The sequence below is a fragment of the Homo sapiens genome, chromosome 8 (genome assembly GCF_000001405.40).
Source record: "Homo sapiens chromosome 8, GRCh38.p14 Primary Assembly".
Lineage (NCBI taxonomy): Eukaryota > Metazoa > Chordata > Mammalia > Primates > Hominidae > Homo > Homo sapiens.
In genome coordinates this window covers 35,463,548-35,489,833 of record NC_000008.11, presented here as the reverse complement: position 1 = coordinate 35,489,833, position 26,286 = coordinate 35,463,548, and the positions used below count along the sequence as shown (strand labels likewise).

General features: G+C 38.6%; 1 protein-coding gene across 17 annotated transcripts in view, besides 1 other annotated feature; it reads right to left on the bottom strand.

Moving 5' to 3' along the window:
• UNC5D (unc-5 netrin receptor D) overlaps positions 1-26,286 on the bottom strand; it is a 561,066-nt gene that overhangs the window by 306,707 nt on the left and 228,073 nt on the right. The gene's annotated exons all lie outside the window — the stretch shown is intronic.
• Positions 2,014-3,213: an enhancer, noted in NCBI's record as "P300/CBP strongly-dependent group 1 enhancer chr8:35344139-35345338 (GRCh37/hg19 assembly coordinates)". NCBI's record gives its function as "activates an origin of replication core promoter dependent on BRD2, BRD4, P300/CBP, MED14 and CDK7 cofactors, with strong dependence on P300/CBP, by STARR-seq in HCT116 cells {active_cell/tissue: HCT116}" and the evidence as "EXISTENCE:reporter gene assay evidence [ECO:0000049][PMID:35650434]".

Below are 26,286 nucleotides of genomic sequence, written 5' to 3'. Positions count from 1 at the left end.
GGAATACCCTAGGCTATAATGTTTAAACGTTTGCAATAAACCAAAGCTACATGTTTTGTAGAAGTAGACAGCACCAATACAATGGGCTCCTTAATAAGTCAACATTTCAGAATAATATCATTGGAAAACTGCCAAGTGTATTAGTTTGCTAGGGCTGACATAACATGATACCACAGACTGGGTGGCTTAAACAACAGATACTTAGTTTCTCACAGTTCTGGAGGCTGAAAGTCCAAGATCAAGGTATTGGCAAATTTATTTTTCCTGCGTGTCCTCACTTGGCTTTTCCTCTGTGTCTGCACATCCCTAGTGTTTCTGTGTCCAAATTTCTATTCGTATAAGGACATCAGTAAGATTAGATTAAGGAGAGATTAAGGAAAACCACCCTGATGGACTCATGTTAACTTAATCACCTTCTTAAATGCCCTGTCTGAAAACACAATCACATTCTGAGACACTGGGTGTTAGAACTTCAACATATGAATTTGGGGGTGGCCGGGTGTTAGGGTGTTAGAACTTTCTGGGTGGCCAGGCACAGTGGCTCATACTTGTAATCCTAGCACTTTGGGAGGCTGAGGCAGGTGGATCACCTGAGGTCAGGGGTTCAAGACCAGCCTGGCTAAAATAGTGAAACCCCATCTCTACCAAAAATACAACAATTAGCCGGGATGTGGCAGCACGGACTTGTAGTCCCAGCTACTTGGGAGGCTGAAGCAAGAGAATTGCTTGAACCTGGAAGGCAGAGGCTGCAGTGAGCAGAGATCACGCCACTGCACTCCAGCCTAGGTGACACAGTGAGATTCCCTCTCAAAAAAAAAAAAAAATTGGGGGGAGATAATTCAGCCCATAATACTCTGCCTTATACGGCCCGCCCCCAAACTCAAGTTCTTGTCACATGCAAAATCCATTCATCTCCAACTTAGTAACCCAAACTCATTCCATCATCAACTCCAAATGTCAAATCTCTAAATATCATCTGAATCAAGTGTGGTTGAGAACTGAAGTGTGATTCATCCTAAGGCAAAATCCTTGTCCCATCGCCAATCTGTGAAACCAGGTAAGTTATCTGCTTCCAAAATATAATGGTAGGATATGCATAAGACAGACATTCTCATTTCATGAGAGCCAAACAGGAAAGCAGAATATGATCATATAAAACAAGTCTGAAACACAGCAGAGAAAACACAATTCAATGTTAAGGATCACCCTCCTTGGTTTAATGCTGTATCCTCAGGGCCACCAGGTGGCAACCCTGCCTTCCAGCCCCTTGAGTTAGAAGCATTACCCTTGCAACACTGGAAAGCAGCCCAGTCCCCAAGGCCCTCAGAGGCAACCCGGACTGCTAAAGCCCAGAAGGAGACAGTCTCCACTTCCAAACTTGTGACCTCCAGGCTCATGTTGGCAGTGGCACCCCTGCTGATTTCCAAATCACCTTCTGGGTCATTCTGTCCTTTTCTTGAAAGATAACCCATGTTCACAGCTGGACAGCTCTATTGTCCCATCCTTTAGAATCCAAGAAATCTACCAGTCTTCCTTCATTTTGTCCCATCTCTGTAACCTTTAGTCCCAGGTAGCAGTGTTTCTGCTGGCACAGTGCATCTCTACTGTCCTCTGCTGAGATGGCTGATTGTATCCATGGGTTACACCCACAATCTCTTTAGCAAACGGTTGCTCAGCACCACCTTTGGTATGCTCTCCAGTACACATTTTCTCAATTTTTTGCAATATAGATAGGCTGAGAATTTTCCAAATCTTCATGTTCTGATTTTTGCTTATCAATTCCTCATTTATCTCTCTCCTTTCATATTTTACTTGTAAGCAGTAAGGAGAAACCAGACCACACTTTAAATACTTTTCTTGGACATCTTTTCAAACAAATATCTAAGTTTATATCACTCATAAATTGTACCTTCCACAAACCACTAGAAAACAAGTCAATCAAGTCCTTTGCCGTTTAACAACAAGGATCACCTGTCCTCCCACGTCCACTATGATGTTCCTCATTTCCATCTAAGTTGTCATCAGAAGCTCCTTTTATGTCCACGTTTCTAGCAACAGTCTCTTCAAGGCAATGCAGGTTTTATCTAGCATGTCTTAAAACTCTTTCTACCTATATCCCTCACTCAGTTCCAAAGCCACTCCGCATTTTTAGGTATTTGTTATAGCAGCATTGCACTTGTTAGTACTAAAATCTGTATGAGCAGGATTCTCCAGAGAACTAAAACTAACAGTCTGTGGGGTGTGTGTGTGTGTGTGTGTGTGTGTGTACAGAGAGAGAGAGAGACAGAGAGATTGATTTTAAGGAATTGGCTCATGTACTTGTGAAGGGCTAGATATGTCTAAAATCGCAAGGAAGATAGGCAGGCTGGGGATCCAGGGAAGAGCTTCACTCTGAGTCCAGAGGAAGTCAGCTGGCAGAATTCCTGCTTGCTCAAAGGAGGTGAGTTTTTGTTCCAACTGATTGGATGAGGTCCTTTCATATTATGAGGGGTAATCTGTACTCAGAGTCCACTGATTTAAATGTTAATCTCACCCAAAACCACACCTTCACAGAAACACCTAGAATAATGTCAGACCAAATAGCTGGGCCCTGAGTACCAGCCATATTGACACAAAGAACTAACCGTCATGCAATATCATCTCAATTTCATGAGGCATTCATCAGGAATGCTGTGACTCATTACAAGATCAGCAGCCATGGTTAGGTTCCAAAGACTGAGGATTTTTTCCTCGTAAGTAGAGTAACCAGACTAAAATTACTTAGGCTTTGAGCTCAGTAAAAATTATCTAGCAAATCTTAGTTATGCCTTAGTGACCTGGGGGGTTGGATAGTATGGCCTGGGATTCTGTCACTGTCTAGCCTGAGCCCTGTCCTGGGAGCCTTAAAACTGAGAATCCCATCTCACATGCAGTTAGTTGTATGACCCTGGGAAAGCCAGTTCTCATCTCCTAGCCTGGGTTTCCTTAATGGTTCAGAGGATGCATTAGAAGAAAAGGCTTCTTCTATTTCAAAAATACTAATATACGGAGTAGCCACTCCAAATAACTTTTCCTTAGGATGAAAATAGAAATGTGTGACACTTTTCATATGGGCAATAATGATACCTAATCCATGGGAAGCATGTACTCACTTTGCATTTTTTCCTAGTTAAGATAGACATATTATTTAATCATATTTCCTTACCTGGTTCCCTCGTGACAAATCATAGACAGTCTGGCTAGCACAGGCTTTGATCTCATGGACCAAACCAGTCAGACATAAGGATGAAAATAAAACCTAGTTAATAATAATTAAAAAATTATGACTTGACTCTAAGTTTCAATTTTTAAAGGTTCAAATCCTCCTAAGTGTCCTATGGAGTAGAAAAGATCGAAGATCATTTTAACATTTTTCAGAAGAAAAGGCTCAGACTGAACCCTTCCTTGGGCCCCTCTCCATCAGCATCGGTATTAGTATTGAACTTCATTGAGCTTAATGCCATCACTCTGGGCACCTTATTATGTGCTTAGAGGATGGATCCCATTAGACAGCATGTGTTGGATGAATTACTATTGCAAAGGGAATTTAGCCATACGTATGCATAACAGGAATTAGAACGTGCTTTCCTCACAAAGCCCCCCAAAATGGCATTTATATCTACTCATGCTAATTAGGAAATTACTGAAAATATTTCCCATATTTAAAACAGCAGCACTCCTCATTGATATGCCACTCTCTCCTTATATGGGAACCCTGATATGAATCAAAGCAGAATAATAATCCATAACTGTCAAAGGTAAATTACTGCCTAGAAAAAAAAGCAGTGTGACATTTAAAGCATTAGGAAATAGTCAGCTAGACCCCATGTGATCCGCAAGCTGCAGAAAAGCAAAGGTGTGATCTGTAGGAGGGGCCAGAACCTGGGAGTTCCTGTTCCACTCATACCTGCAACACTAGTGCAAACAATGGGGACCATCTGGAAGAAACATTCTTCGATCATCTCCCCTAGGTCTACCATGGTTTTACATATGTTATTTCATTTGATTCTTATGACAGATCTTAGGTTCCAATCATCTCCATTTTATAGATCAAGAAATTAACCTCAGGAAAATTAACACTTTGCTCAGGGTCTCACTGCTAGCAAAAGGGGGAACCAGGATTGACAAGCAGAGTCTGACTTCAAAACCTATGTTATTTTCACTGCCTCACACTGCTTGTGCTACTGGGGTACCGCGGGTATTTTGCCGAGTTGTGCCACGAAGCAGCAAGGTATATTAATACACTGGATATTCATAAAGCCTCTGGGATTTAAAATTACATAACACTTGTCTGTGCTTCAGTTTGCACCACCATATCATGGAATAATAATTACCAATCTAAAAATGTTATGGAGATTAAATGAGATACTCCGTATGTAGCACGTACTAAGGATATAAGCCAGGATTCTTCCTAACATTCTGGAATCTGAAAATATGAATACATTTAAGGGATATATATGCCAGTCATCTTGCCCATCTCGCAGAGATGTTATACTGACAGTATTCTAGAAACAAATATTAGCTGAGTCCTGCAGATGTAGGAACAATTATTACTGGTATGGTCTTCAGCAGCAGAATGAACTTGAGGCCAAATACTGAAGTAGATGGCATGGTCTTTAATTATGCCACCAACTACTGTCTTGCCTGTCCTGCTTTCTTTGTGTTCTGCTTCTAAAGGTTTGCCTCTCCTGAGTTCTTGGGTTCCTCCTACTGTAGGGGAGAGCGATCCAATGAAATTATATAAAGTATTATGCTAGTGAGTTAGAGTGTTGCTACCATACATCTCTGCCTCAGTAAAAATAAAACAATTTTTAAAAGAAAGCTATTTACTTAAGGCAAATATATTTATTAGTGTGTTAAAATATTGAGAACTGGAGTTAGAAATCCTGGGTTAGAATCTTGGCTCTGCTTGTTACATCAATATTGAATAATTTGTCTAGACTTTGTCATTCATTCTAAGTCCCTCCATTGAAGATGGTGATAACAATGCCATCTCCAAAGGGTTATTCTAAGCATCAAGCAAGAGATATGAAGTGCTTGGTATAGCGGCCGCAGATAGTATGCATTCAATTCATTTTAGATTTTATTGTTGGAATAAGATCCATGATATTAAGTCAAAGAGAGTCTTAAAGAGCACCAGGATCCTTTGCCCAAGTCATGCTATGTCTCGGTCTGTGAAATACCTATTTTACTTGGTATTTCCTCCTGGTATCTGCAATTTTCATAACATGTCAGTGGGAAGCCATGGAAGGGTCTTAGCAGAGGAGTGGTGTGACACTATTTACCTTCTAAGAAGATCACTTTCACATGAGGCAAATAATGGCCTTCAGTGGTGCCATGTGGGAGCGAGGAGACTGGTTAGGCATGGAGATAATAAAGGAAATAGGGATATATTAGAGGATAATAAGACATGCTGATAGATTGGTGTGGGGTGAGCAAAAGAGAAAATGAGAATAACTAAAGATTCTGGCTTGAGTAGCTGCCCAGCTGGCCCCAGTGGAAACCTAGACAGTGAGTATAGCCAACTCTAGGCTTTGGCTGCTTAGTAAAGGTTCTGACAAAAATACAATAGAGAGGTTATGTGGGGCTACTGTTGTTGTTTCTCTTTTCCCTTCTTAATTTTTTTCTTTGCTTCTTCCCCCTTAATGGGCTTTGGACAAGGAGCTTGGCATTGATTTCTTGGTGATTGAATATAAATAACGCTTAATTCACTACAGGCAGAGATAAGGGACCTCAGCCTTCCCTTAAGGGTCATCATCCAGATATGATTATGTTGTCAATTGAAAGTAGGTCTCTAGAGGCAGCCAATTGATCTGCCAGTTCAGAAGCCCCTCATCTCCTCACATTTGAATGCAGCACAAATTTCCTGCTTAGAATCTTCATTCCAGCAGCCCTGTGTTAACCACATTCTAAGCTTCTAATGTCAGAAAAGCAGCCTAAGTGACTGCCTAAAGAAAAAAATAATTAAAACATTTTTATCTGTTATTGAGACTCATCCTGAGTTAATATATTGATTCAACCATTGCTCTTGTAAATGGTATTTTAAAATCAATACCCTCTCGGCCCCATGGAGATTAGGGGTGGGTAGAAAAAAGCCCTTCAATTCCTTTGTGCCTTGACACTTATCTGTTATAATAAATTGAGAGATACAAATTCTTGGGTTGCTCCATTAGTAGAGAGTCCAGTTTTGGAGAAAGAACCATACTACTATGTAGAAGTGGTCAAACACATTAAAACGTTCTATGTCCTGAAATCAGTTTTTGCCTTTCAAGCTAAATTTCCTTAACTAAAGCCACCAAAATGAATGACCTAATCTATAGTATGCTTCAGGAAGACTTGCTTGCTAGCAATGTATGAAATATACAGAACATGACTGATCTCTCTCACACACACCTCCTGCTGGTGACTGCAAAGGTAAAAAGATAAACTATTCTGAACTATTTATGGCAAGTTAGATATGCAAATTCATAAAATTTGGTCACCATCAGTAGACAGCACTAGTTCATTTCAGATGTCACTGTGAACCAGGAAGGAAGAGTTTTTCAGAATCTAATTTGTCCACAATGCTTAGAGTAAATTCTGTATCACCCTGTGCTGTAACCATATAAATCTGAGGTTTGGAGGCCTGTCCACCAAGATTCAAAACTCCCAATGCCCAGAGTCTCTCTAATTCATGTGAGAATGAACAACAGCACCTCTTAAAAAAAAAATGGGGCCAGGTGCAGTGGCTCACGCCTGTAATCCCAGCACTTTGGGAGGCCCAGGCAGGTGGAGCACCTGAAGTCAAGAGTTCTAGACCAGCCTGGCCAACATGGTGAAACCTCCTCTCTACTAAAAATACAAAAATTAGCCGGGCGTGGTGGCAGGCGCCTGTAATCCCAGCTACTCGGGGGGCCACGGCAGGAGAATCGCTTGAATCCAGGAGGCAGAAGTTGCAGTGAGCTGAGATCGCGCTATCACTCTCCAGCCTGGGGGACGAGAGCAAGACTTCATCTCAAAAAAAAAAAAAAAAAAAAAAAAAAGATCTCTTTAATGACACACTGATATAAGTAATTGTAGTTACCTTGCAAATTATTCATTTTTAGATTTCTTAATATTTGATTTGATTTGTAGTCTCTAAGTTTCATGAGGTCAGCATCTGTGTCTGTTTCCTAGAACCTATTATTGAATCTAGACCAAAGTAAATACTTAAATGTTGGTCAAATTAATGAAATATTATTAACAGGCCTCATTTAGACAATAGATTTCAATTCACAGATCCATATAAGAGGATTTTCAGTGGTTCGTCAACTGTGGCAAAGTGACTAGAAAGTGTGGCAAAGTGACTTAAACAATTAGAAAAAGAGGAGTAGGAAGAGAGGGAGCTGGCAGAGCAGAGGAAGGAGGAGAGTTAGAACAACAATGTCAGCACGTAGGCTTCGGAGACAGACAGAAATGTGCCCAAATTTTGGCTCTAGTGCTTTTCAACTTAGTCAAGTTTATCAATAGTAATACCTAGCATTTTTTGTGTGCTTACTTTGTGTCAGATACTGCATAAAATGCTTTATGAGCATTACAGTCAGGAGGAAAAAGGACAAATCCATCCATAAGGGAACGATTTAGAAAATCATGGTAAATTAATAACAGGAAATATGATGTGGGTATTAAAAGGATTACTTCTGATCCATAGACCTGGAGAGATGTTCGCTATTCAGTCTAGCTACAAGAAATTTATATAGTTTGACCCTACTTCAAGAAAGTTCAAAGAGGAATATAAATTACATATCCAGGTACACACTATCTATCATCTATCTATCTATATATTTCTCTCACACTTCACATGCAATTTCAGGGAATCTTTTTGACTCTCTAATATATACCCACCGCCATACATAAATGTCTGGATAACTAAATCATCAGGCTGTTAGTGATCTTGAAAAGCAGAGGGTGTTGGAGAGTGGGATATTAAACACCAAAACAAACAAAAAACCCACCCAGTGAAAACTCCAGCATATTATAAAGTTAAATAAAAATAGAGAATATAAAACTCAATCCACATTGCAAAATCCAGTTATTAAATATGCATGTGGATACTAACAAGGTAACTTTTTAATGGAAACCATTAATTAACAAGATGATAGGATTTAGTCTTCAATGTCTTTTGTTTTAACCCTTTTTCAATTTTACACCTTTTAAGAGTAATCTCTACTTTACATCTGAACTCAAAGGTTGACAAAGATGTAACAGCGAGGGAAGCATTTAGAGAATTTATTCTAAAGTTCAATACTACAAAATACAGAAAGTCAATGGAAATGTTGTGTTAAGCATGTAGGGGCTGAAGACCTGGTACAAGTCTGTTCTATAAGGTGGGGTTTCTGTTTTGATTGTTTTGATTTTAGTTTTTTGTGGTCATTTTCTGTTTTCTTTTCTTTCTTTTCTGAGACAGGATCTTACTCCGCCACCAGGCTGGAGTGCAGTGGCATGATCATGGCTCACTGCAACCTCCACCTTTGTCATTTTATATTGCACTAATACACGCTGCCTTAGCTCTGATAAGAACAGGGATGACATTACAACTCTGCCTTCTGCTCTCTAAATTCTCTGCCTCATCAGATGGGCAGTCAGCACTTTATTCAATGTTAAAGGTCAATCCCCTCTTCTGGTAGGATATGTTTGTCCAATAAAATATGTGCTCAGCTTTATGTGTTAGAAAGCAAATAAAGTCAATTGGCTTCAACCAAGATTATATCATCCACAGAATCAACTAAAAGATTTTGCCACAGAGACACTTTGCTGGAACCTGTTAACATCTCAGGTTCTCAGTTCACAAACTGCAGATGTTTAGACACTCTTCTGCACCTCCACTTGGCATTTCTCCACTTGGAGATCTAATTGTCATCTTAAGCCATCCATATCCAGAAATGAACTTCTTATCCTCCACCTCCATCCAAACAGACTGTACCAAATTCTTCCTCATCTCAGTGAAGGGAAACTTTATCATTGTGGTAATCAGACCAAGGGTCTAGAGTTATTATTCCATATGAACAGTAACCATTCCTGATCTCCTTTATCTTGCCCGATTTGTTTGTCTCATAGCACTTATCATCTCTATAATTTGCTTAGCTATTATGTTTTTTCTATCCCATACTTGCTAGAATGTAAGCCTCAAAAGAACATAAACTTTTGTAAATTCTTATTGTAGATATATCCTAAAAACATAGAACAGACTCTCACATATAGCAATTAAAAAAAGTTGTTCAATAATGATTATTGTTTTGTTTTGCAATAACAAGTAGGAGTGAACAATGAAAAAACATATCATCTTCTCTTTCTGCCAGGAAAACTCATAAGGACTCCTCAGGAGCTCCACCAAGGAAAAAGGACCAAGTCATGTTAACACCAAGACAATCCTCAAAATCCAGTGTGAATTCTTAGTCTCACTGACAACTCTTACAATAAAACAAAGCCTTCCTTCAAGATAGACCAGATTGTATCATGGTTGTTTTGTTTAGTTTATAATTTAAGTTAGCAGACTTTTCATTTATGTATTAAGTGGCAATACATATATTACTGTTTATGACTTTAGCTTCTCTTTTCATTAGAGGTACAGTGTTTGGCAATGGAACCATATACTGTTAAGAGTAAATATAGGGGAATTTATGTTCTAGAAAGGTGATATGCTCAATATTATGTATCTCAATTACTAGTTTGCTACTGAAATACAACACAGTAAAATACTGGAGACTAAAATTATCTTGAATATATTTATGACACTTCACTGATAACTCAGAGTGATCTGTTAGGGACTGCCATTGGAAACACACAATAGAAGTAAGTCCATTAGTGGTGCATTCCAGAGAACAGAGCGCTAGATCACCACATTTTAAAGCACTTTTCTTTTACTATTTTCATTTTAGGTTCAGGGGCTATGTGTGCAGATTTGTTATATGGTTAAATTGTGTGTCACTGAGGCTTGGTGTACAAATGATGCCATCACCAAGGTAGTGAACATGGTACCTGATAGGTAGCCTTCCAACCTATGTTCTCTCCCTTCCCTGACCAAGCAGTCCCTCATGTCTATTGTTCCCATATGTATTCAATATTTAGCTCTCACTTATAAGTGAGGAAAAATGGTATTTTGTTTTCTATTCCTATATTAGTTCACTTAAAATGATGGCCTCCAGCTACATCCATGTTGTTGCACACAACATGATGTCATTCTTTTATACGGCTGTGTACTATTCCATGGTGTATATGCACCACATTTTCTTTATCCAGTTTACTGTTGATGGGCATCTTGGTTGATCCCATGCTGCTGCCATTGTGAACAGTGCTGCGATGAATACATGTGTACATGTCTTTTGGTAAAACAATCTATTTTCCTTTGGGTATATACACAATAGTGGGATTGCTGGGACAAATCTATTTTTAAGTTGAGAAACCTTTATATAGAGTACATTTTGTTAATAGAGGGCTCCACAGTCATGGGATTGACACTTTTGTCTCACTAATCAGATATGGAGATCAGGAATCTTGATTTCTGATTCCTTTGTTTTCCTTCTCTACCAGAAGAAAATTGCCTTCATAAGGAATCAAAGACTCCTAATGGCTAACGATTTATTAGAAATTCTGTGTAACTTTCTGCCTCAGGCTTGAGACATAGTAGGCTCACTTGTTCTATGTGTTTCCACACCACCAAATGGCAGGGATAAAGCTCTCCAAAGCCTGTATGAGCAAACTTTTAACAGTTAGAAAAGAAAAATGCTGCAATCCAGTACTGAAGATGTTTCTGTAAACTACGTTGATATTTCTGAACTCCAAAGACAAAATTTCTCTAAGTCTTTCATTCCAAAAACACATCATGTTCTCCAAAGACTTGCCCTTTATTTCACTCAGAAAATTTTCTAAAACCCTCTTCTACAATGCCTAGTTTGAAATGTAATTTAAATAAACTCAATAGCTAAGAATTAGGAGCTGCAGTGTAATTCAACTAATAGAGCCTAAAATCCCTAATGATCTAATTAAAAGCAGGTTAAAGAATGTTGTACTTGACTTTTTGCTTCCTCAGATACCTCACACTTGATCAAAAAGCATAGAATGTTTAATGTTATTAACACATTTCAATACCATCAGTTTCAGACTGATATTGAAAAGCATTTAAAATAAAACCCAAATTAAAGATCAGGACTCAATGCTGATTTCTCCTTATGAGACAGCTATATTTCTTTAAGTAAAGCATGGTCTTATGGTTGAAATTTTGTTCTCATAGGAATAAATAACTTTAGCACCAAGTCAGCAAGGGCTGGGGAAGCACAGCATTTTGAAGTAAGAGTCCTAGTGAGAATAGATATGTAAAGCTAAATTTGCTTATATGTTTTCATCTAGGATATTAATGTACAATGTCACAACCTTTTTATGAAGAAAAGTCATTTTTTCTATAAGCTGCTGAAGGAAAAAGTCTTTTCATATGTGTGCATCTAGCCTATGGAACTTTTGACATCAAGTTTAAAGGTTGCTTAGTTACCAACCTGAAAGAACAATGTCATCATCAATATTTAAAACCACTGTGTTGACTTTCTGATGTGGGCTCACATATTATTTTTTCAAATTGTGGAATACTCTAAATAAAAATTCAAAAAATTTTTGAAGAGGTAAACCCATCTGTGTTGATTAATCTGAAGTTTTATCTAATTTTGGAATAGAGATTCTGAATATTAAGATCTGTCAATATCTAATGACAATGGGAAGGAAGAGAATTGGTCAGTGCATGAATTATGAATCTGCACACAATTCTTTGCTTAAAATGAAATTATTGATTAATATAAGGCTTTCTCTTCATCTCCATTAGTGATATCAGCTCCCTAGCATGGGATTCAAAATCCATTCTATTTACTTTTATTTACCAATAATAATGCCTAAAGATTATCTTCCTATTTAACCAGTAGCTTTGAGAAAAAAATATAAATAGAAACTCAATAAGAGTGGTCATTTCTTTTGTTTGTTGTGATCACCAGCAAGCATTCATGACATTCTACATATTTTTTTTATAAGTTGCGCTATGTATCAAATATTACCACTGAGTGTTAACTAGTGGCTATTTGGTAAAAATCACAGAATAAAAATGCGATCTTAAGTTCAGGGGCCACGAGACTCTAGATGAATTTTGACGTTTCAGTTGATTTTTGTAAACATTTTTTTTTCCTTTCCATGTTACTTAGTAGCCACACATGATTGTCTTTGATTGGGTGTCAGAATAGCCTGTGCATGGATTCATGCAAATTTTCTCCACATACTAATTCAAGAATAATTCTTTCTTACAAAAATTAGCATAATCAGCAGTTGCATCTTCAAATAGTGAGCATCATAAAAATCATTCTGTGAAAAAAGAAACCAGAGGTTGATTTTCAATGATGTGATGCTGATTTTAAAACTATGCCAGTAAATATCCAAATGACATGTAATGAATAAGAAAGACCAAACAAAAAAAAAAGACAAAAGAGAAAAATAAAATACTATGAGTCTCAGCCTTATGGAAGCATTATTCAAACTAGAAGTTATTATGAGAAATGAAAAGGAAATTCTTAAACTAATCAAAGAGAAAAGGGCTACATTCTAAGGCTTGAACACGTTAAAATTCGGCCATGGAATAATTTCAAAATTAAATGAAATGACTCACAGAAAGCAGGCAAATGACCTTTAAAGCACAAAGAAAATTACCTAAGAAGATGAGAAGGAGTATCTTTTCAAGTACAGCACATCAGATAGACCAGAAGGACCTACAAGGGGGCTGCCTGGTAAATGTAATGGACAGATGATGCTAAACATTCAAATGAATGCACTGCTATAATGATCACAGAAGGAATAAGATGCAGAGAGAAGAACCTAAGTCTAGGAGCAAAGAAGGCTGGGGGAAGCAGAATGGAAATCAATATTAATGTTAGAATTGGTGATCAAAGCATCACAGTACAACGTCCAAGCCCTGGGCTGTGAAGCTTGAAAGAAATGGAAAAAAATATGTATGCAAAATCCTTCATTTATTTTCCAGCCTGAGCTTTGAGAAGAAAAATAAACAGGATTGAACTGCCATAGATGGTAAGCTGCCTTAATTTTCAGGAGAGGTCTGAAATGTCACTGGAGACTAATCTAGGACAGTAGCCTTTCAGAAGGCAGGGTACGAGATAAAGGAGGAAAACTTAGCTCTGAAATAAACGAAGGGAAGACACTTGTCATTGGCAGTGGTGAGAACAGCAGACGCTACTGCTCTGACCCTGGAGGTAAGGTTCAGAGTGTTGGCCAGAGAGTGTTCATGTTCTAAATCACAAAAGATACACATCTCCTTTGTCCTTATTGGCGTATCATATACAATACCATAAAATACTTCCCTGGGAAAATGCTGTGAAAGAGATTCATCAAATATTAGAGTCAGAAGAAAACTTTGTAAGAATTTTCATACATCTTTATAGCTAGATGAATGGACTAATACTCAAAGAGGGGAAGTGTCTAGTTGACCTCACAGCATAGCCAGGATTATAACTCGGGTGTTGGGAGTGGTATTTTGCCTATTCCAGTGTACTTGTGAAGGCCCATTGCCTAACTCAGTTCCCAGACTTTTGTTTGCAGTAGAGTCATCTGAAGGCTCATTTCTTAAAAGGCAACTGCAGAAATAATGGCCCTAACCCAACAGCAGAAGACAGTAAACAATCCTGAGCCAAAGAGAATTATTCCAGCTTGCACATAGCACAACTGCCTTAAATCCAGAGCGAGAGATGTTGTTAATTGAGATCTTTTTGTGTGCAATATACGATAGAGTCACTGATGACAAAAACACTGTCCTCAAAAGGCTTTCAATCTAGTAACTTCACTGTTTATTTCAGACCAAGAGCCTAGTGGGCACTCAGTAAGCATTAGTTGAAAATGATGGCACTAGCATCTGCCAGCTGGTGATTCACAGATGTTCCATAGTAGAAAAAAAATGATTCTACTCTGAGTTTAACACGGGTGGCAAACTTCCCACAGATGCACAGAACAGTAAAAGGGATGGGTCATTATGGTCATAAGTAAAGTCTTGATAGGATGAATCTATGCTGCAATTGTTTTTAAACTCAAAACAAAAAATTTGGATCCAAACCAATTTGTCCCCACCCCTTTGTTAAAACACAATGCAAAGCAGACAGACGGTTTTCAGGATGGGTAATTCTGGAAAAAGGTGTTGACATGTACCTCCCACCCCATTCTCTTCCCACAAGCCCATTGAGAGGAGCCAGTACTGGCAAAAACAGCTATAGTTGGGTTCCTTTGGGAAATCCCTGGGAAAGACTACAGGCACAAGATAAGCCTGAGGACTGTAGAAGGTGGGAGTTGACACACATCAAGTACACAAGAACAGAGAAGCCCAAAGTTCAAGTCCCCAGACAGAGCCAGCAACAGGCAAGCAGGTGGCAAGGCTCTGGGTGGCCGTGGTGGCTGTTTTTAGGTCCCCTTCTGGGCCTCCACTTGGCTACTGTGTAGGCATGCCTAACAAAAATGGACAGAATGTGGAGAAAAATGGATATTCAGCAGACACAGACCTGGCTCTCCTTCGGCCTTTATCCCTCTGTCTCATTGGGGTCCCCTCAATTTGACTGATACTGATAGTACCAAGTCTGGACTCCCAAATTCACCTCCTACTCCTTTAATACTTTTCTCCAAGTTCAAGGAAAAACAAAGCAAGTAAAACAAAACAGAGACACTCTTTCCCTTATCCCTGAGTATTTACTGCTATTCTCCTAAATACTGAAGGCCCAGATAAAGCCTCTGAGACCCATCCAGAGAGAACCACTGAAATCAACCCCCATTTCCTTTTCACAATGTACCCTCCCAGGATCTAAGTGATTTACATAATGAATGACCTCACTCACCTACTGACACTCAGATTACCAATGCCCCACCTAAGGGGATGTGCATGATTCACTCCTCTGCTGAGCCTCCTTTCCACCACTGTGAAGTGGATCAGTTCACTAAAGCCTTATAGAAAGTTTTATTAGTCAAGGGAATTTATTATCTTAGCTACTGCAACAACCAATGAAATCTCAATGGCCTCATGCAATGAGAGGTTATTTCCTGCTCACATACAGTTCTAAGCAGGTCAAGGGGGACCCTCTCCATCCAGAACTCAGGGATCCCCAATCCCGCCAGGCTGTGATGGTGCCAATCGCCACAGGGGGCCTCCAAGGTTGCTGAGGCAGAGAAAGCCCCACAGCTTCACCCTTATTGCAGGATAGGCCAGTAAAAATAGAGAAGTTTATGGAATATTTAAAGTGTTCAAACTCAACTACGATAGCAATTATAACTTACATATAATATTATATGTATATCATATACATCGTATCTCAAATGGTCTTTTTCTCATATTTCTACAGTCCACCTCTCAACAGTCGCTATCTCTATTTTGGGTGGTAGAAAGTATTATCTTCTGATGTTCTGCTGAGGTAACTACATAAGTTGGAAAATCATTAAAAACAAAAACAGTATCAAACAAAAAGGAACAATTCTTTTGTCTTTGCATATATGAAGGATCAGAAAATAGACATGGTTAAGAACTGTGGTAAACAACTAGGAAAACTGTGAGTAGAATATAAAGGGGAAAATTACAATTGGTAATATCTCTAATGAACACATTGCATGGATGTACATCTGGATATAACATCCTATAGTGCATGTGCACACTGCTATGGTGTGAATGTGTCCTCCAAAGGTCCTGTATTAGAAACTTGATCTCCAATTCAGTGGTGTTGGGAGGTAAACTTAATGGGAGGTGTTGGGGTCATGAAGGCACCGTCCTCATGAACAGATTAATGCTGTTATTCCAGGAGTGGGTTCCTTATGAGTTCAGCCTCCTCTTGTCCTCTTGCTTTCTTTGCCCTTCTGCCATGGGAGGACACAGCAAAAAAGGCCCTCACCAGATGCCAACCCCTTGAACTCAGAGCCAACAAATTTCTGTTAATAAATTAACACATTTCTGTCAATACATTAGCCAGGCTCACATATTCTGTTATAGCAACACAAAGACACACACATCTACACACACCCCATAAATAGCCAAAAATATCACTGTTATATTGTTAATTGTGTCCACATATGTTAGATTTTTACTTAATGCCTCAAAACAAATGGAATATAATAATGTAATCATCCTGGTGGTTTCAACCTTCTGCCATTCAGTTCCCTCAGTTGAGAACACTGACTTAACAAGGTGAATGATTAGATGTGCTTCACATAATTCTTGGAGCTGCAGGGGACTCGAGCTTGTAAAGTGAATTCTTTCAACATAAAAAATATATTAAGAATGTATCTTTTAATAATGGGTGTCAATTAATGTGCAGTGGATGAGAAAAAAGTGTGTGAGGGATTTGCTCACCATTCCACCTACCAAATACTTATTGGATGCATACCACGTGCCAGCCACTATTCTTAAAGCTGTGGATATGGCAGTGAATAAAGCTTACAAAAATTCCTGTCCTCATGGAACTTATCTTCTAGAGTAAATCTGAGTTCGCTAATTTGCAATAGCCTTTTTTAACTGTCTCTTTTCTTCAGTGCTGATATTCTCCCCTCCCCATCCTCTGGGACATCCCCAGATGACTTCCCTAGACCTGTTTCCAAATACTACACCATCTCTCATTTCTCCTGCATTGTCAACTGAGGTTGGCATCTTCCCTTGTAATTGAGGTCATTGGCTCATTTGCTTCTTGGAAGTTTTGTTATCTATTTTCAGTGTAATCACATTTAAAGAAACATTACACTCTACAATTGGCAACTTGAATATTATTTTCACATTCTATTTTACTTAGTTTACTGCTCAGACAGCCCAATAAGACCAACTCTGGTGTGCCTTTGTAACTTATTTTTGTTACTCCCACCTGGTGTCATTGACCACCTGTGGAAAATCCAACATTTGGATGAAACGCTTTCATCCCGGGATCTTTATTTTCCATCTATCATTCTTTCCCACTCTCTACTCACTACCCTTCATGTGAGGCCAAGTAACATATGGCAATGTCCAAGGTGAGAAGCTTGCATTCTTTATTCATCCTGGCAACTAAATACTTCTATGGTTTTAAGTAACTCACTTTTCCTCTTTTGAGCTTCAACAGGATTCTCCGTTCAGGGTTTCTGAACAAAGAGTATTTTCTCGCTTTAATTTTCCTTGGGGCTTTATGGTGATAGAAATGTCATGCACTATTTTATTTTTTTGCCCCCAGAATGGTCTCTATTTCCCATATCCCTTCTGATAAGTGTGCTATCATTCTTGTCAGTCTTGATTTCCCCTAAAAACACAAGGTTATAGTTCACCTGGTTGCTTACCAGGGCACTCAGCATCAAGATCAAAAGCCTCACATTTTTCTCAGTGTTTTTCTGAATAGGCTTTTTTTTTGTACCTTCCTCCCACTCCAACATTCATCTCAGGTTAAGACCACTTATCAAGTTTCTACTCATCCTGTCAACCCACTCACTTCTCCAGAAGTCACTCATCACACCATTATTGTGGCCTATTCTCCTAAACTGATGCTCACCAAACCTTCTCCTCTTGTGAGTAGAGGTTCCCCACCTATGCCCACATCCCCTACACAACTCTGCTTCACCATGACAGTTTTCCTACCTATGGGAATAATAAGTGTTCTTCTGATGAGATCTCCTTTTCTAAATATACAAATCAAGATTCTTTTGCCTTCTTACAATAGATTTGATCTTTCATTTCTACATAAGTAGCAACTTCATTTAAATATTATATACTTGTAGTCTGTGTCCCTTTCAGTTTGTTCTTGTCATCTTAACTTCTTAAAGATAGGAACTAAGAAAATTTAAGTTTTACCTGTCTAGTACTGATTCACAAAGAAAACACTGAGATATCTGCTTATTTTGTTTTGTTTAATTTATTTAGTCATTGCATGGTTGGCAATAAACCACAATAAGGCATCAATATATCTCAGTGTAATGGCAGCTTCCTCTTTTAATAACTCAATGGATCTTTAAACACTCACCAAACATCACATTCTATAATAGCCACCAGGCAAAAGATGTCTTTACCAGTATGCGTTTGTGTAATTCATTAAAGGAAACAAAGAAATGGTTGTGGTCTACTGCATCACAATAGCTTTGCTAGATCTTAGAATATTATTTTTCTTAACCATGAAGGAGGAAAAACAAAGAAAAAACACAAGGAAAAGCTAACAAGAGAAAGGTGTAAAGCAATAGAATCCACTATAGCAAAATTTAGATGCTTTTGCTATTTTTCTTTTGGTATTAATTTCTTTAAGGTCCACTGGGGAACTTGAGTTAATACAGAAAAAAATCTTTCATTTATTTTCTCCAATATTATACGTTGGTTTACAAGGTGTTATAATTCACTTTAATTATTAAAAAAACCTCACTGAATGCTTTGTTAAAGTATTGCTAGCTTCATGCAGTGTCTTCTATTTGCTGAGAGGAGGATGCACACTGCCTAATTCCTCAATTCTCTATTCCTGTGAAATATTTTAATCAAACCTTCTGTGACATAAGTAAGTCAATAGTGATATTCATTTGCTCAAGGAATCTCCTGGTATAGTTACTACTTGGATCTTAGGGGCTTGAAATAAATGTGAGATGAAAAGGTTGTTAGTGGCTAAACAGTTTCTGTCATCTTTAGCTGCAGAACAAGGTCACAGAATATTCCTTCTCAAGCAACAGCTCGGTATTGAGGGGAGGGGTTGAACAGACAGCAGTGATGGAGGAACTGGCCCCGGGGTACTAGAACTGAGAAGTCAGGTTTGAGTGCTGAGATCTCTAATAACTTGCTGTGTGAAGTTAAGACTAATAATTAAATCTCTTTGAGTTAGTTTTTATAGTTACAAAATGGGAACTCAACCCCAAACAGTTGATGCAATGCCTAAGTGACAAACACACAATACAAATGTAAGGCCTTGGAGGTGGTGTTCTCACCCAATGCTGCTAAGCTGTGCTTCACAAGTCAGTGCCATACCAACTCTGCTCATTCTTTTTATTTTATTTATTTATTTATTTATTTATTTATTTATTTATTTATTTATTTTGAGAAAGTCTTGCTCTGTTGCCCAGGCTGGAGTGCAGTGGTGTGATCTCAGCTCACTGCAGCCTCAATCTCCTGGGCTCAAGTGATCCTCCCACCTCAACCTCCCAAGTATGGGCCTAAAGGCATGTACCACCATGCCTAGGTAATTTTTTTTTTTTTTTTTTTTGCATTTTTTGTAGAGATAGGGTTTCACCATGTTACCCAAGCTAGTCTCAATCTCTTAGACTCAGGTGATCATCCCACCTCAGCCTCCCAAAGTGCTGAGATTACAGGCGTGAGTCAGCACACCTGGCCTATGCTCATTCTTTGCACTAAGTACACATGTGTACATCTTCCTTCCCCTGCTAGACCATAATCTCAATATCAGGATCCATGGCCAATTCCCCTAGGTCAACAAGGTGTCATGACCTGCAGAAGAGACGCAATAAATGTTTGTTATGTTAATGAATAAATTACCTAAGATTTTATGTTATGGCCTCAAAACCATATTTAAAAGAGGAGTCTTTCTCTAATGTCCCCAACACCATCCTGAGGTGCTTACAAGCCATTTCACACAGACCTACATTAGTACCTGCCTAAATGAACTGTAATTATTTAAATATACATTTGTCTCCTCAATTACTAGTTGTATTTATTTACTTTGTGTTCTTAGCTCCTGGCTGAATGTTTGTTCATAATTCTACTTAATATTCAGCTGGAAAGTCATTCAAAATCAAAATTAAAAAGTATGTATTGAGACCAGTGATTTGTCCAGCACTATGTTTACAACATCCTTCATCAATTGTACTCAAAAGGTGAGGAGTGGCTTAATAATTATGTAGCATACATTGAAGAAGGGCAAGAAGTTCCAGTGTCCTTTCCTTCATTCCCGTACAACCAAGAAAGGGCCTCTAACATATACCTAAAGCTGTATCATATTTTGATATTTGTTCCTCTCATAAGATACAAAAATTATGATCTATGTTAGGTGCAAATCCAATAATGAAGTCATGAGACCTGATTTTGAGCTGAAAACCTCATATTCGTCATTCAGGTCTTTCTGGGGAAATGTGTTGTAGTTTTCCTTAAATGCCCTTCTTTAGTCAAATGGAAATATTACATAGATTTATAATCTCTACCTTTTTTACTTCTCTGCAAAGTAATTGAGCAGTTGGTATTATCGTGCTCTGGAAAGGTAAATAAATTAAAGCACAGAGAGTATATTAAGTGAGTATTCCAAAGCAAAGAAAGTTATTAAATCAAGGCTATACGGTCCCTTTCCCCACAAACATAGACACTCAATATGGGCTGTCCCAGTAAATGATGACAATGTTTTTGGTAATCTATGGGCTCTTTAGCTTTGGATCTGAAGATACTATTTACTTCTATTTACTGATTACTCCCCATATGAAGAATACTAGGCTAAGAGCTTTCATGCATTATTCCATTTACTTTAACTTGGCAAGGCAATGCTATTAGGCAAATTATTACCCCCACTTTAAAATGAAGGAAATGAGACTCATAGAACATAAATGGGCTGTCTAAGCTTAAATCTATGTATTTGACTTCGAGTATTAACTAATAAGTATACTTCCTCCTGATAAGGAGAAGTTTTTACCTACACAGGTCTGATAAATGAATGCCGTTCATAAAACTTGCATTCTCTTTGATGAGAATAGGTTGATGCCTCCTGTTATATCACAAGAGTCCTGTTAGTGAGGAAGGTGCAATAATAGATTATTTCATATCAGCTACCACCCTCTCCAACTCCCACCTCCACATGGCACGAATATTTATTTTCTCTCTGCAGAGGCTTTGCTGGCCACTTTTCTCCTATTTCTAACTCCAATTAGCAAGGGCTCTCTTGTTTCCCAAGCACTCCCACACCCTCAGTTTTCTTCTAACTCACCTGGTAAGGCAGCAGGCTGAAGACAAGAATCTTAATTAAAAAGTCATCAGCATTGTCCCGTGGAAATCACACCTTCTTTGCCAGGAGGTGTTTTCAATGACACCATGTATTGCTATTCAGGAATGATGGCAAAATGTGACTGCAATCACTTTTCAAGATTAAATGTCCCAGAGCAATTTGCTGCAGCTGGCCAGGTGATAAAGTAGTTAGTGCTGGAAACCATTCCAAGTTGTGACATAACTTTAAAAAATAGAGAATTCTGTCCTCCACGTTTAAACATGAATGTAATAACTCAAGGAGACAGAGGACACAGACAATAACACTACCAACTTAGGGAAATCACGGCTTTCTATATTTGAGATAGCTAGGCACTGAATATTCAAATTTGACAACTCATTTCAACTCATACAATAGATAGCTGGGAACTGAATGTCCACATTTGACAACTAATTTCTCCTTTATAGGAAAAATCAGCACTGAAATCGAACTTTTACAACAATGCATTATTTTACCCAAAGTGAAGGATGATTTTGATTTTCTCAAAGAGTGCAGGCAAACAGAGAATCCTATAAAGTGGTAAAAGAGAGCTAGTGATCTCTGTCCTTGGGAGTGGTCAAAAGTACTTGCCTATCCCTGTTTATCTGTGTCTTCACGTGCACATGCTCTCAATAGTTATTCATTACTCTAATATAGGGCAATCCCTAAACGACCAACACATTACCGGGCTAAGTTAGTTTCAACTATTACATTCTGAATGCCATCTTGGTTTTGACATTGAGAAATTTATCTAATTCATAGTAAAAGCAGGTAAATATCTGCTTTAATAATTTTAAACTTTGTGTTATCCTTACGGAAAAAGTTGACACATTTCTCAATTTCTTTGAGAGAATCTTAAAGAATTCATAAAAGGATTGTTTATATATCCTTTTGATAAGATCACAGAATTTTAGATTTGGTAGGAAAAAATATCACATTGGTCATTGGTGATCTAATACTACTTCTCAAACAATCTCCCACTAAAAAGTGATCATCTAGCCATTTGGCGAAAGCTTTTCGTTATCAGAAACACACTCCATGATTACACAGCTCTTGTTGGAAGATAGTGCTTGGTAATCTTGAATGAGTTCTATTCCCTCCACCCTACCCCAACATCTGCCCAAAGGTCCTAGTTTTGCCCTAAAATAGATACTGGATGAGAACACATCTTCTCCCTTCACTATCTGAAAGTTCTTTAAATATTTGGAGACAGTTATTGATAGGTTACTCAAACAAGTCTGATTTTTTCTTCTTTTTTTTTTTTTTTTTTTGCCTGTCATAGTTTCATTATGGCATGGAAGGTTTCAAATATAAAGGTTCTGGATTAGTTTGAACATTAATGCTGCATATCTAAGAGGATGAATCCAAAAACCTCATGTACTGCAGCTGAATCTAAATTATCTTCTACCCTGCCTTCATAGCTTAATTTCTGCTTTCAAGCTGTCAATCCACTCCCACTTTGAAACCAGCTAATTTGGTGTGTCCACACACTTCCCACTTCCTCATCTTCCCAGAGCACAGTTCCATGATGAATTCAGCATTGAGGAAAGAACAGGTAACCTCAGCTGGGTTCTCAGGAAAGGACATTAGAAATTACAAACTATCCATCCAGTGCTCAAAGACAACTGGCACTTGAGTTATGGGCATGTTTTAAGGAATTCGTCTTAAGAAAAAACTGTGAGGGAGTACGAATTTCTGAACTTACACACTCAAAACCTGCTTGTCTGAGAAAGCGTCACAAGGTATCACAAATGTTTTCACCCACTAATTTTATAGTTATTTCCATGACCTGGAATTTCACCCCTTGTCAAAGAGTCTCTAGGAGACAGCATCCTAGACTTTAATCATTTTTATTCCAAGAAAAAGTAAAATTAAGTTGCAGCAAGTGGTACAATTTTCCCATTTTCTCCTCACTTCTTGCAGAAAGAAATTCCAAAAATATGCTACGTAATACAACCATGCTCAAAGAAACACAATCCACCATTGGCCTATACTGCACTTGGGAGCATGCAGTTGTGCTGTCTAGAAAAGTCCTATGAGGCAGAGATTGTTTTTATTTCAATATATGTGAATACCAACCTCTCTTTTTATATGATCAATGAAATTCTCATTACATAAAATATGAAAAAATCTGTAAATTATGATGGCAAATACAGGACTGTTGAAATCCAAACTTTTCTCATTTTCAACTAAAAATTGAATTTCCATTTTTGAATGGCGTCCATGAGAAATAGTCTCATGGGATAATAGAAATGACTTTTTTAAGGAAATAACACCATCTTGTGGGCATTTAGGACTCTAAAGCTCAGTACCATTTCCAATGTGTTGCATTTTTACAATCTGATTAAAAAAGCACTGGCTTGAATGTAAAGTTTTATGAATTAGATAATGCAGAAGGATGCAAAGACAAATTATATATAAATCCTACTTCCTGGACACTCAAATCCAAGGTTAGGCACACACATGCATACACAGGTATCTAATAAGAAAAAAAGTGCTGATACAGAACATAAGGTTTTAGTTATGTTCAAGAGACAGTGAGAGATGAATTCTGACTGTAAGAATCTGGGAAGTCTTGGAGCAGGTGATATTAGTACTGGACCTTGACATCTTTATTAGACTTCGGTAACTCCTTGTGAAGAGGAAGATTATTCCCAACATTATGATCAGCATGAGGAAAAAGCATGAAGGTAGGAGTATCAGTTTCATCCTGCTGCTGTAACAAATCATCTACTACAAGCTTGGTGCCTTACAACACAAATTCGTCATCTTATAGTTCTGAAGGTTAAAAGTCTAATACAGGCATCACTGGGCAAAATCAGTTGTCAGCAGCCTGTGTTCCTTTTTGGATACTATAGGAAAATAACCCTATTTCCTTGCCTTTTCCAGGTTCTAGAAGCTGCCCACACACCTTGGCTCATGGTCCCTTCCTCCACCTTCAAAATGAGCAATGGTGGATGGAGTTCTCTGCATTGTCTTCTACGATAACATCCCCCTCTAACTCCTCTCCTCTGCTTTCCTCTTTCACTTTTAAGGACCCCTGGGATTGCACTGGGCCCACCTGAGAAATCCAGATCCTCTTCCTATTTTAAGGTCAGCTGAGTAGCAACTTCAAGTCCATCTAACCTAACATATTCACAGGTTTCAGGGATTAGGATATCTCTGGGAGACCATTATTCTGCTTATAACAGTGGAAGAAGACAATATTAAGAGAATGATGAGTAGATTGAGTTTCACATAAAGAAACAAAGACACATGAAAAGGATATAAGGAGGGATACAACTGAAAAGAAAAGGATTGAGACTTATGTGGCTTTTGAGCATACAATATTTTTTTGAGGTTGGGTCTTGCTCTGTTGCCCAGGCTGGAGTGCAGGGGCATAATCTGGGCTCACTGTGCCTTGGCTTACTGTGATTGAGACTTATGTGGCTTTTGAGCATACAATATTCTTTTGAGGTTGGGTCTTGCTCTGTTGCCCAGGCTGGAGTGCAGGGGCATAATCTTGGCTCACTGTGCCTTGACATGCCAGGCACATGTGGTCTTCCCACCTCAGCCTTCCAAGTAGCTGGGACTACAGGTGCATGCCACCACAACTGGCTAATTTTTTGTACTTTTTGCATAGACAGTGTTTTGCCACGTTGCCCATGCTGGTCTGGAACCCCAGGACTCAAACAATCTGCCCAGCTCTGCCTCCCAAAGTGTTAGGATTACAGGCATGAGCCACCGCGCCCAGCCAAGAAATATTATTTGACCTTGTCATAAAGAATATAATCCTGGCAGTGATATGTATGGTAGACTGGAGGAGATATCTACCCAAGGTGGGAAACCAAGTAGAAAACCATCACTATCCAGGTGGTGACAGATAAGTGCCAGAACTCATATGGGGATTGCATGAAGGAAGTGGCAGACATGAAAATCACTGTAAAGGCAGAACAGAGAAGGCTCTGAATGTTATCAGGTTTCTGGAGGGGGAAGAAGAGGATTTCAAAATCACTCATATTTCAAATGTGTGAAAAAAATGTTATGCTGTTATGTGTGGGAACACAGTAGCCCATGACTTGGGAGATGGCCAGGGTTAGGGATAAAAGTAGATTTACTTAAAGCTACATGAGTCAATAAAATGGGCCAGAAAGGCTAGATGAAATATAAAAATAAGCAGGTTAGAATTGACCTTCAAAGATTGCCTCCCATTTAAAAGTTGAAGAAAAAAAGGAAACAGAGGAAAAAGGCTAAGAGAGAATCAAGATTAGGAACAAGAAAGCTTAAGGAAAGAAAAAAGAAAAACTAGTGAAAAATGAAAGCTGCACATAGGCTGAGCAGTCAGCAAAGATGACTTACAATCCCAGAAAATTACAAATAACCTGGGCACTCAAGTGTTGGTGTAATTCAGCTTTCTCAAGGTTCTTCTCCAGGTGATGATAATACCACATATAGCAAATAAGTACACAGGTTTGAAACTATTGGCAAGAGAATCATTAGTCAACTGTTTTCTTTTTTATTATTATTATTATTCTTTGAGAGGGAGTCTCACTCTTGTCGCCCAGGCTGGAATGCAGTTGCGCAATCTTGGCTCACAGCAACCTCCGCCTCCCAGGTTCAAGCTATTCTCCTGTTTCAGCCTCCTGAGTAACTAGGATTACAGGTACCTACCACCATACCCGGCTAATTTTTGTGCTTTTAGTAGAGATGGGGTTTCGCCATGTTGGCCAGGCTGGTCTCGAACTCCTGACCTCAGGTGATCCACTCACCTTGGCCTCCCAAAGTGCTGGGATTACAGGCGTGAGCTACTGCGCCTGGCCGACTGTTTTCTAATACATAAGTACCTGTATAAGATTAGAAATCTGCAAGTTACTATGGGCAGGTTGTCACCAAAGCATAATAGAAAACCAACTTTTATTGCACATTTTCTACCGCCCACTTTTTAAGCACTTTACATTTAGCTAAAAAAGCAAATGGTTTCAGAGTATATATAATATCCAGGCACTACTCTACATGCTGTGAATGTAGCAATAACCAAACAGACAAAATTGTTGTCATTTTTTTTTTTTTTTCTGAGACAGGTTATTGCTCTGTTGCCCAGGCTGGAGTGCAGTGCAGTGTCACAATCAGAGCTCACTGCAGCTTCCAACTCTTGGGTTCAAGTGATCCGAATACCTCAGCCTCTCAAGTAGCTGGGACGGCAGGTGTGTGCCACCACACCTGGCTAGCTTTTTTTTTTTTTTTTTGATAGAGATAGGGTCTTGCTTTGTTCAAAAATGTCTTTATGAAGCTTGCATTCTAGTGGATTTAATTCAAA